Consider the following 12941-nt stretch of genomic DNA (forward strand, 5'->3'; position numbering starts at 1 on the left):
CTGGGATTACCGGCATGAGCCACCACCCCCAACCCACTTCTTATCTTTTGTACTGTATTTTTACTGAACCTTTTCTATGTTTGGCTACATTTAGATACACCAATATTTCCCATTGTGTTCAATTGCCTACAATTCAGTACAGAAACATGCTGTATAGGTTTGAAGCCTAGGAGCAATAGGCTATACCATATAGCCTGGGTCATAGTGGGCTATACCATCTAGGTTTGTGACAGTACACTCTATAATGTTCACACAACAACGAAATCACTGAAGGATGTATTTCTCAGAAAGTATCCCCATCATTATCATTAAGTAACACATACAAATCTAGGTTTGTTTGAAGATAATTTTGCTAATTTAACCCTCAAATATAATGTTTTTATACAATGTCCAAGCATATAGGTATGGTCATTTTGGAAATGGGAATAAATTACGTGATTATCAAGAATTCCTCCAATATAGCAACATAGTAACTATCACAGCTCTTGCTTAAATGATTGTCATATGTGACCATTATAGTTTGTGAAATAGAATCGGTGAAGTGCTGAGTGTGGTAGGAGGGTGTTCTAAAGTAACTCCAGATCCTAGAGCAGTCCATCTTCTGGGTGAAGTCACCTAGCTTACAGTAATCTTGACCTGAATCAAACGATGCTTATCTGGCAATACTCTTTTGGTATTCCATGAAGAAAAGTGTCACTGAACGTAAAGCACCCACTGCCATGAGACAAACCAGTGCTTCAACCACAATGGAAGAGAATGAAAATCCATCAAGGAAAAAGACGTGATGGCTACTAAGAAGGCATGAATCTAAAGTTCACAGATGTACAAGGTGTGCTCTGAGCAAGGTGACCCTTCTTAATCTCCAACCATTCAGTTCTAACACGTGCTAAAACTGCAACTGTATTCCGGTTGCGAGTAGGACCTATGTTGTTAAATGACAACAGTTTTCCACAAGGACTCACCTGGGTCTGGTTCTAGTTCTGGCTCCACCCAGACTAGATCATCTCAAGTTTTCCATGAAAATGTTGCCAGTGCTTAGAAAATAGGTAGCATAATAGCGAGGCTATAAAGAAGGAAAAGTCAAAAGCGTTCCCAGTTGCAGTATATCTTCCCAGGGTTTGTCTAGGTTATGAGCCAAATGAATTGGAGGCCTCTAATTCAGAGAACAGGAAATTAAGAGAGTTTGTTCCTCTAATAAAAATAGTATCAAATCCTTCCAGTGCATATTTTAAAAATAAATATTTTGCTTGCTTATGGTGATTTAAGTGCCCTTCACTCTATTCTTTTGGAACAACCCTTACCGTGAGCTGAGCCACCTTTGCACCAATAAACCTCAGTGCTCTGGCACACTGTGTTTTCTCAGGGTTTCAGTATGGGTGGCCAGGGAGCAATGCATCACTGGGTTCAAACCAGGGTAGGATCTACTAGCGCTGATTGGAGCCCCAGTATTGGAGGTCACATTCTTTCAGGTTAGAAATGCTGTAGGCAAATCCCAAGGGGAGGGGCATCAAAGAATTACCCAGTGGGGGTTGATGCTTCTGAAACTCCCCATTCTCCACCAGTACAGTATAAAAGGAGTGAAGCCAAACCTTGGGGGAATATACCGGGGATCTGAAATATAAGCGCACAAACCTAGGTTCCCTGACCATCAGCACTCTCAGAGCCACAAAGCAAGATCTCATTGAATTCCAGCATTCCTTGGATACCTTCTATGAGCCAGGGTACGTGATGAAAAGAGAGAAGCCGGGCGCGGTGGCTCACGCCTGTAATCCCAGCACTTTGGGAGGCCGAGGCGGGTGGATCATGAGGTCAGGAGATCGAGACCATCCTGGCTAACAAGGTGAAACCCCGTCTCTACTAAAAATACAAAAAATTAGCCGGGCGCGGTGGCGGGCGCCTGTAGTCCCAGCTACTCGGGAGGCTGAGGCAGGAGAATGGCGTGAACCCGGGAAGCGGAGCTTGCAGTGAGCCGAGATTGCGCCACTGCAGTCCGCAGTCCGGCCTGGGCGACAGAGCGAGACTCCGTCTCAAAAAAAAAAAAAAAAGAAAAAAGAAAAGAGAGAAAAACAAGTGAAGAGTGATGGGGTGGGTCCCTAGCCACAAGAAGCTCACCACCTAAAAGATTTTCTCACATGTTTTTGTTTAACAGTTTTATAGTTTTTAGTACTGACATTTAGATCTATGACCTATTTGGGGTTAAATTCTGTTTATGATGTGATGTAAGGGTCAAGGTTCACTTCTTTGTACACAACTAGCCAATTGCTTCAGTGCCATTTGTTGAAAAGATCATCCTTTCTGCATTGGATTGCCTCGATACCTTTTCTTAAATCAATTGTATATGCATGAGTCTATTTCTAGACTTTTTATTCTGTTCCATTGATTTTTTTTTTAATTTATAAAGAAAAGAGGTTTAATTGACTGACAGTTCCTACATGGCTGGGGAGGCCTCAGGAAACTTTCAGTCATGGCAGAAGGGGAAGCAGGCTTGTCTTACATGGCAGCAGGCAAGAGAGAGCATGTGAAGGAGAAACTGTCAAACCCTCAGATCTCATGAGAACTCACTCACTATCATCAGAACAGCATGGCGGAAACCACCCTCAAAATCAAATTGCCTTCCATCATTTCCCTCCCTTGACACGTGAGGATTATGGGGATTACAATTTGAGATGAGATTTGGGTGGGGACACAGAGCCAAACCATATCATTCTGCCCCGGCCCCTCCCAAATATCATGATCTTTTTACACTTCAAAACCAATCATGCCTTCCCAACATTTCCCCCAAAGTCTTAACTCATTCCAATGTTAACCCAGAAGTCCAAGTCCAAAGTCTCATCTGAGACAAGGCAAGTTCCTTCTGCCTAGGAGCCTGTAAAATAAAAAGCAAGTTAGTTACTTCTAAGACACAATGGGGTTACAGGCATTGGATAAATGCTCCCATTCCAAATAGGACATATGAGCCAAAATGAAGGGGCTACAGGCCCCGCACAAGTCTGAAATCCAGAAGGGCAGTCATTAATCTTTTGTTGTTGTTGTTGTTGGAAGACAGAGTCTCAATTTATTTATTTTTATCTTTACATCAAGACTATACCATCTTAGTTACCATAGCTTTATCATAAGTCGTGAAATTAGGCTGTGTAAGTCTTCCAATTTTGTTCATCTTTTTCTAAATTGTTGTTTTTTTCTAGATCCTTTGCATTTTCACATAAAGTTTATAATGAGCTTATCAAAAAAAATTCTACTTGTATTTTGACTAGGTTTGGGTTGAATTTATGTCAATGGGGGAAAATTAACATCCTAATATTGACCATTTCTATTTGTGAACATACAGAATTACTTTTCAGCTCCTATACCTGTGTCTTCCATCTTTCTGAGTATTTTTCTGGGGCTTTTAAAGCACAGTATCTCTAATAGACTCTGCTGTATAACATGCAGTATTCAGGAAATAAATGATGTGTAATAAATGTCAAAATAAATACTACTACCCAAGAAGTGGTGTGAAAATGTATTATGTTTTATAACAAGTAACAGAAAACTAAGGCTGTTTTGTGCTGATATGCTTTTTTACTAAGAGATTTTCTTTCAACTGATATGCTATAAAGTCTTTATGTGTTTCTTCTCTTTAAATTGCATAAATAATTCGTCTAGTTTCACTTTTACTTGAAGGATATTCACATTCACTTTCAGTCTTTCAGTCCCTAAAAGGGTAGATCCTCTGCTTTAACATAAACTGTTAGCAAAATTTGATCCCTGAATAGTAGAAAATGGTGAAAACCTCAAGACTCCACATCTAGATTCTTCCTAATGGATGTAAGGAAAAAGTATCTCTCTTTGGATGCACCTAAGTATGACATATGGCTAGAATTTATATTCAACAATCTATGTAACATAGACCCAAAGAGTCAGAAAGGATACCCACCATAACTTACCCATAGAGCAATTTGTTGCAAACCAGCTAAAACTAAACCCTGTTAATAGACATTAGGACAGGTTTCCCTGTGCAAGCCCAAGTGCCTCATAGGAAAAGGCTGAACTTCTGTGAAATTTTAATAGATACGAAGTTGCTTCAACTCCCCACCTTTCCACTTTCTGAATTCCTAGTAGCCTCAAGGCAGTTCCTGCTTCCCAGAGACCATCCTTGGAGTACCATCTCCCCACCCCCAGAACTGTTCCATGCTTCCAGTATTTCACTCCAACAAAACCTAGAATTATAGGCTTTCTGTGCTGAGAAGGATCTTAGAAACCATCTATTCCAATCCTCTTGTTTTACAAGCAGGAAAACAGGCCTAGGAGCATAAAATAATAAGCAAAGTCATATACCATATCATGCTAATGCAGAAATTGTAGAAGTCAAGCTCTCCATCATTTGCTGACTTCAAGAGCTGTCACAGAATACGGCATCACAGAAATTAGTTTTAGGTACTAATCATCCTGGGATAGCTCTATTTTTTCTTTCTAATTATAGAATTAATACACAAAAAATTATATTTTATAATTTTTAAATAATGTAAATTATATAAAAGTTACTTTTGGTCCTACAGTACCTTACTCCCCTCTCCTGATGTACTTTTATTCTCAGATTGGTGTGTATCTTTCTCCCTGTGCATTTATATATAGATAACTTTTTTTGCACAAGCAAACATTTGATTTAGCCATTTCTGTGAATATTTAGACATAAGGCACTAGCACCTCAGAAACTAATGCCAAATAGATTACATTCTTAAAGTAGTGAACACTCTGGAGGTCACCGATATCTGGTTTTTAAATTTTTATTTATTTATTTATTTATTTATTTATTTATTTATTTATTTTGAGACAGAGTTTCATTCTTGTCTCCCAAGCAATTCTTCCACCTCAGCCTCCTGAGTAGCTGGGATTACAGGCGCCCACCACCATGCCTGGCTAATTTTTGTATTTTTTGGTAGAGACGGGGTTTCGCCATGTTGGCCAGGCTGGTCTCGAGGTCCCAACCTCAGGTGATCAGCCCACCTCAAACTCCCAAAGTGCTGGATTACAGGCATAAGCCACCGTGCCCAGCTAAATTGTTTTTTTTATTATTATTTTTAGATGACAAATAAAAATTGTATATATTTGTGAGGTATAATGTGATGTTTTAATATTATGTGTACATTGCAAAATGATTAAATCAAGCTAATTAACATATTCATCACCTCATTTTTTTGGTGAAAACATTTAAGATCTACTCTCTTAGCAATTTTTGAGTATATGATACATTATTAACTATAATCAGCGTGCCACATACACTTTTAAGAATTCTAATAAAATTTTGCTTTAATTTCTGCATATAATTTTGTTTTTGAGGTGTTGTATTAGTCTATTCTCACGCTGCTATAAAGACATACCCGAGTATGTGTAATTATAAATTACCTGAGTATGGGTAATTTATAAAGGAAGGAGATTTAATGGACTCACAGTTCCACTAGGTTGGGGAGGCCTCATAATCATGGCAGAAGGCAAATGAGGAGCAAAGGCACATCTTACATGGCAGCAGCCAAGAGAGTGTGCAGGAGAACTGCGCTTTATAAAACCATCTGATCCCTTTCCCCTGGCTGGCAGCACGGAGGCTGCACAATGCCTGGGGAATTACTGTAAAGAACATGAACTGGCTGGGCGCAGTGGCTCATGCCTGTAATCTCAGCACTTTGGGAGGCCAAGGCGGGCGGATCACGAGGTCAGGAGATCGAGACCATCCTGGCTAACACGGTGAAACCCCGTCTCTACTAAAAATACAAAAAATTAGCCAGGTGTGGTGGCAGGCGCCTGTAGTCCCAGCCACTTGGAGGCTGAGGCAGGAGAACGGCATGAACCCGGGAGGCGGAGCTTGCAGTGAGCCTAGATCGCACCACTGCACTCCAGCCTGGGCGACAGAGCGAGACTCTGTCTCAAAAAAAAAAAAAAAAAAAAAAAAAAAAGAACATGAACCAGCAGGAGTTCATTAGAGCTCTGGCAGCCATTCTCAAAAAGTCCAGGAAGCTGAAAGTCCCTGGATGGGTGGACACCGTCAAGCTGGCCAAGCACAAAGAGCTTCCTCCCTGTGATGAAAACTGGTTCTACACATGAGCTGCTTCCACAGCACAGCACCCGTACCTACAGGTGATGCTGGGGTTGACTCCATGACCAAGATCTATGCGGGACATCAGAGTAAAAGCGTCATGCCCAGCCACTTCAGCCGAGGCTCCAAGAGAATGGCCCGCTGGGTCCTCCAAGCCCAGGAGGGGCTGAAAATGGTGGAAAAGGACCAAGATGGGGGCTGCAAAGTGACACCTCAGGGACGAGAGATCTGGACAGAATCACCAGACAGGTGGCAGCTGCCAACAAGAAGCATTAGAACAGCACAGGAAAAATTCACCCCCATGATTCAATTACCTCCCATGACACGTGGGAATTATGGGAGCTACAATTCAAGATGAGATTTGAGTGGGGACAGAGCCACAACATATCAGATGTTTTTAATCAAAAAATGTTGCTGGGCCTCATGGCTCAAGCCCGTAATCCCAGCACTTTGGGAGGCCGACGCGTGCAGATTACTTGAGGTCAGGAGTTTGAGACCAGCCTGGCCAACATGGTGAAACCCTGTCTCTACCAAAAATAAAAAAATTAGTCTGGTATGATGGCGAGTGCCTGTAATTCCAGCTACTTGGGAGGCTGAGGCAAGAGAATAGCTTGAACCCGGGAGGCAGAGGTTGCAGTGAGCTGAGATCGTGCCACTGCACTCCAGCCTGGGTGACAGAGAGACTCAGTCTCAAAAAAAAAAAAAAAAAAAAAAAAAAGTTATAACTACCTATTGTTGGTAAATTCAGTTTGCCTGTCTGTTTGGTGGCTTGCCATACTGGAAGTCTGCCCCATATACCAAAGTGTGCCAGATGATCTGTTATCCACTCAGCACTATATCTTCCTCTTTCTATGCCCTGCTCAGCACCACAAGGGAGAAACTCAGAAATGCATTTCCCAGAATCCCTTATAACTATGGTTCTAAGTTAAATTTTGTTCTTGAAAAGAACTCCCTCAAGACTCAGATGGCAATAGAGAAGTTATTTTTCTCCAGCAGTTATTGCAGACATGTGGGCAAATGGAAGAAGATGGGAGCCTATAGCAGTTACTGAGAAAGCTCCTGAAAATCACCTGCTGCCCAACTTGTAAAACGCCTCAAAGAGCAAGGATATGAATGAAAGACTATTTGAAAGACAGAAATCCCAAAGCTTTTTCTGGACACAGGTTTAATTCCTGGATCAAGTGGGGCTGTCATCACCGATGTCCCATTGTCCAGTTGTCCCTCCCAATCCCTCTTTAGATTCTCTTTTCCTAAAGTTTGTTTTGATTCAATGTCCTTTCAGTTCATCTTGAGGCAGCACTGTAAATCCCATTCTGGTATTTTCTAAGGGATATTGCTGAGGGTGCTGTTTCCTATATAAAGAGACATTGAGAAATTTCTTTCAGAAATAATTGCTGAAGGAAATATTTGCAGAGATAAGAGACTGGTGGATTAATCAATTAACAAATCACTTTTGTTGGTAGGAAAATCAGAGTAAAACTTTTGCTCAATTTTCAGAAACTGTGTAGGTTTCAATGGCTCACGTGTACAGCATCTTCCTGGGTTTTTACCTTCTATATAAATTTGTTCTTTTTCTGCCCACACTTTTAGATTTATTTATACCTCCCCATTTCATTATGTATACACTGGTATTTTTCCTAACTTTCCTAATTAAATACATATTTTAAAAATAAGTTTAAAAAAAATGCATGTACAACTGGGCATGGTGGCTGACACCTATAATCCCAGCATATTGGGAGGCCATGGTGGTGGGATGGGATGGCTTGAGTCCAGGAGTTTGAGACCGGCCTGGGCAACATGGCAAAACCTCTTATCTACAATGTGTGCAAAAGTTAGCTGGGTGTGGTGGCATGCACCTTTCTTCCCAGCTACTTGGGAGGCTGAGGTGGGAGGATCAACTGAGCGCCCAGAAGGTTGAGGTTGCAGTGAGCCAAAATCATACCACTGCACTCCAGCACAGGCAAGAGAATGAGAGCCTGTCTCAAAAATACATAAATAAATAAATAAACAAACAAATAATACATGTAGCTCAAGTTTTCTCAGACCTCATCAGCAGGCAGGTGCAAGGGATGATTTGAACAGCAGCTAAAAGGTTACTGGTTTATATTCCCATTTTTTAATAAAAGTCCCTGGGTTCCTATAAAACATGCCTTCTCCACCCCCCAACCAAATGTTTCTGGAAGTCCTCAGTGGGTGTTTCACATGCACACCCATCTGTTCTATCAGGCATCACCATGGTAGCTGAACTTCATAGACATGTATTTCTTCCCTCAAGTAACAGTCCTCAAGTAACAGTCCTAGATGAGCACTCAGGTCAGCAGGACAACTCATCTCTTTGTGGCTATTCAGGATCCTAAGCTGATACCACTCTGTCATTTTCATCATGTGACTTCCAAGGTTGCCCTGAGTGTCAACATCCAAATCAACTGAAGACAGTAAAACTTTTTTTTTAATTTAAAGGCATAGAAAAACATGTGTGAGAAATTTTTATGAGTCAAACCTGTACATGGAATACATCATTTATGCTCACAAACCATTGGAGAGAACTTAGTCATATGACCACATGCAACTGCAAGGGAGGCTGGGAAATGTAGTGTGCCCATATATCAGGAAGAAGAGAAGGGATTCTGGTAGATAGCTAGTGATCTCCTCCACAATATATTTTCTTCTAGTCTTTTTGCAATATTGTTTCCACAAAATTATGATCATATTGCATTCTTCTATATTCATTTAAAATTATATTCAGCACTTCCCTGTCATAAAATTGTCCTCAAAAACCATTTAAAAGATAATATATTATTTCATCTCATATATACCAGAACTTACTTACCTACTCTCCTTCTGTTGGATATTTATCTTCTTTCCAATTTTTGGTTTAATAAATGAAGCTGAAATTTGAATATTACATATCAGTTTTTGTTTCTTTTTTTTTTTTTTTCTTTTTGAGATGGAATCTCACTCTGTCGACTAGGCTGGAGTGCAGTGGCACAATCTCAGCTCACTGCAACCTCTGCCTCCCGGGTTCAAGGGATTCTCCTGCCTCAGCCTCCTGAGTAGGTGGGATTACAGGCACACACCACCACACCTGGCTAATTTTTGTATTTTTAGTAGAGACGGGGTTTCACCACATTGGTCAGGCTGGTCTTGAACTCCTGACCTCGTGATCCGCCCACCTTGGCCTTCCAAAGTGCTGGGATTACAGGCATGAGCCACCGCACCCAGCCTACATATCAGTTTTTAGCAGCTTCCCTAAAATTTTTCTTAGGATGGATTCCTGCAAGTGGAAGCACAGGGACAAAGGATATATACATTTAAAAAGGCTGTGTTTAATTTCTGTTCCATTTGGTGAGTGGAGTGGCAGGGGTTGAGGGGATGAGCTAGGCCTGTTTAGTCACACTGGGGTATAGAGTAGGAGATTTCTCTTTTCAACCATCACCCCTCTAGGTGTCAAGGGCCCCACCTGGAAGGCTCTCACCAATGCTGATATGAAGGGCATCTACGCAGATCCTCAGCACAGGTTACATATAATATTCACTCAAATGAAAACTGAATGGTCCACAGACACTGACTTTGCTCCCAAGTGATTCCCGGATGTTAGCAATAGATGTACTCAATCTACTATAGGCTGGAGCCCACTCCATTCCTACCCACAAAATCTCTCCAGGTCCTACTGTGCCTTGACCTTGCTATATACATTTTTAAGGATTTTTCAAATTTTGGGAAATTTGCCTTTTGCTTACCAGTTGAGCATCTGAAACTCAAAAATTCAAAATCCAAAATGCTCCAATGAGCATTTGCCTTGGATGTCTTGTCAGCACTGGAAAAGGTGCAGATTTTGGAGCATTTCAGATTTTAGATTTTCAGATTTGGGATGCTCGACCTGTACTTGTAAGCTGCTTCAAACTCCCTTTCCAATGCATTGGTCTACAAGTAAGTAAATAAGAAAAATTATGTTCTGTAGGATAGGAGGCAGCAAACTACAGTCTCCAAGTCAAATCTGGCATGCAGCCTGCTTTTATAAATAAAGTTTTATTGAAATACTGCCACATCTATTCATTTCCATATTGTCCATGGCTGCTTTCTATTACAACTGCAAAACTGAGTAGTTGTGATAGAGGCCTATGGCCTCCAAGCTTAAAATATTTTCTGTCTGGCCCTTTACAGAAAAAGGTTGCTGACCTGTTCTTCAGAATCAGGCTACAACAACGAAGCTAGGGTCTGTACTCACATACACCCCTATTTGTTCGATGAGCTTGTTCAGCTCCATATAACTTCCTTATTTTACTTATGAATGTCTTATACTATATTAATGCATCGTTAATACATCTGGCCTTCATAACTTCAGACCTTGCCATAATTAATTTTTAAATTTCACTCCTCTTCTCATTCAATTTTGATTCACAATTTATGAACACACACTATATTTCAGTTACCCAAATTAATAATGAACATGCAAAGTGGTATTTTTCTCTCTGGAAATGAAAGACACACGTATTTTCAAATGCTTGGTGAGCAGCACTATTGATATTTCTCTTTCTCTTATTCCAAGTAAATATTATGCCGCGTCTGTGTGGTCATAGCCATTTCCATCACAAAAGACTCTACAAACCCAGGATTACCTCATCCCAATAGAAACAAAGGGGAAAAGGGAATTAGGCTGAAGGGAAAGCTAAAGTAAAACCATCTTCAGCGATTTCAAAGGGACTCAGAAATAACAAAGTATATTTCTTTCAAGTAAATGTGCCCTTTTTTCAAAAGACTACTGTGGCAGTCCTAAAAAATGCCATTAAATGCAAAGCATAGAAGAGAGAGATCATTAAAATTAAAAATCAATTAAATTCTAAAATTTAATTTGCCTAAATCAAATTAAATCACCCAAGAGAAAACACACAGCTACTTGAGAAGTGCATATAAAATTGCAAGATACTCCCGTCTCCTAAACAGCTAGTTAATCACTGTTTTCCAACTGACGTAACAAGGATGTGCTTGCGTGTATTGTTTACAAGACCAAATACATGATTAATAAAAAGACGTAGTTTAAAACACCCTCTTTTAATGTTTTTGTTACACAAGTGGACCCAGATTTGTGATTAAAACTCATCAGAGAAGCATGTGAAAAAGTGGTATGAATCATTACTGATTTCCTGCCTTGCCCCTTTCCAAAGAAACTCATCCTTTCCCCCAATTGAAAACACATAAAAAGTTGACAGTTATAAAACCATGTAGTAAGACAGCAATTTGTTTTTTAAAAATTTTTTACTCTCTAATACAAAGCCTTCTTCCCTAAATGCTAATATGTGACTTAAGTCCTTCCTAGAGGTACAAACATGATTCATAGTTTAATATAGCTAGAGATAATTTTAGAAAGAGCCCCTTTTGTTTAAATGAATGTGAAACCTTTTGCCAAGCCTTGAAACTGCTGCCTTCATTGGCATGTTGACTTGTAAAAGGTGAGATAGTCTTTGGTAGCCTTAACTAGAGTCTTGTACGAGGAAAAAAAAGAATGACTCAAGGATCTCAGGAGACTTTTTTTTACCCACATTACTGTGGTCCTACTGTCTGATGAAATCCAAGGGTTGTTCAAGTACAAAACAATTTTCACAACTTCACAGGATGTTGAAAGATCCATTTCCAAGCCTTCATATCCAGGAGTCCTTCCCAAACTAACATTCATCGTTTTGCCTTTTTTTCCTTTCATCCAGGTGCTCTGGGAATTAGTTATTGAATTCATTTTCTCCCACCATTCCCAGCCCCATGACTACATCCCCTTTATAAAGTGTAAACTATACCACTTTGGGGCAAAACGTGAAGAAAATGTCTCTTTGGCCTCCCTGATCTACGCTTTTAATATTTCTTTTAACGTTGCTCTTTTCTTCCAGGAATCTAGCACCATGTGCTGGGTTCTGTATTAGTTATGTATTGCTGTTTAACAAATTATCCAAAAACTTAATGACTTAAAATAATAATTATTTATTACCTCACACAATTTCTGTGGGCTAGGAACTTAGCTTGGTGGGTTCCGCCTCAGACTCCCTCAAAAGGTTAGAGTCAAAACGTCAGCTGGGGTTACAGTCACTGAAGGTTGCATTGGGGCTGAAGAATCCACTTCCCACGTGGCTCACTCACATACTGCTAACTGGTGCTGGTTGCTGGCAGCAGGCCTCAGTTCCTTACCCCAAGAAACTATGGGGCTGTTTGGGTGTCCTCATGACATCGCAGCTGGCTTCCCGTAAGAGAAGTTGATCTGAGGGATCTCATAGAGTAAGGCAGAAGCCTCTGGAAGTCACACTTAGGAGTCATTTCCACAATGTACTATTGGTTACTAAGGTAACCCTTATTCAAAATGGGAGAGAACAACACAGAGTGTGACTAACAAGAAGTGAGAATCACTGGAGGTCATCCTGGAGGTGACCACAGACCCTAATGGCCCAAGGTCTTCCACCCTGTCCCAGGCTGCCTTTGTCCTGGCAGTCCTCTCCAGATGGCCTCCCCAACGAAAGCAAATCTTTCATGAGTGTATTCTGTCAGTTCCCTATTCTTTACTAAGGTAATGCTGCTGATCTGTTACTGAAATTTTGCTAATGTGCTCAGAGAATGCTGCAGGGGAAAAGTGTAGCTTTTTGCACACATTCTCCTTCATCAGCAAATAAAAGAGTCAAGGCCTTGACTAAACACTGATTCTCAGGGTGGAAGCACCAGGTCTACTATAAACAGATGGGGAAATGTCCTATTATTTAGTCCTGGAAAATTTCACCATGTAGGCATATACCTGCTTCAACAACTCCTAAGTCTGAGTTTATAGGGACAATTTGGACAATAGGATTATTCTAGTCACAACAAGTTTTTACTTCAGCTCTCTGACTATTCCCTG

At 40.5% G+C, this 12941-nt stretch overlaps 1 pseudogene; it reads left to right on the plus strand.

Moving 5' to 3' along the window:
- RPS19P4 (ribosomal protein S19 pseudogene 4) lies at positions 5927-6350 on the plus strand (annotated as a pseudogene).

The sequence above is a fragment of the Homo sapiens genome, chromosome 5 (assembly GCF_000001405.40).
Source record: "Homo sapiens chromosome 5, GRCh38.p14 Primary Assembly".
NCBI lineage: Eukaryota > Metazoa > Chordata > Mammalia > Primates > Hominidae > Homo > Homo sapiens.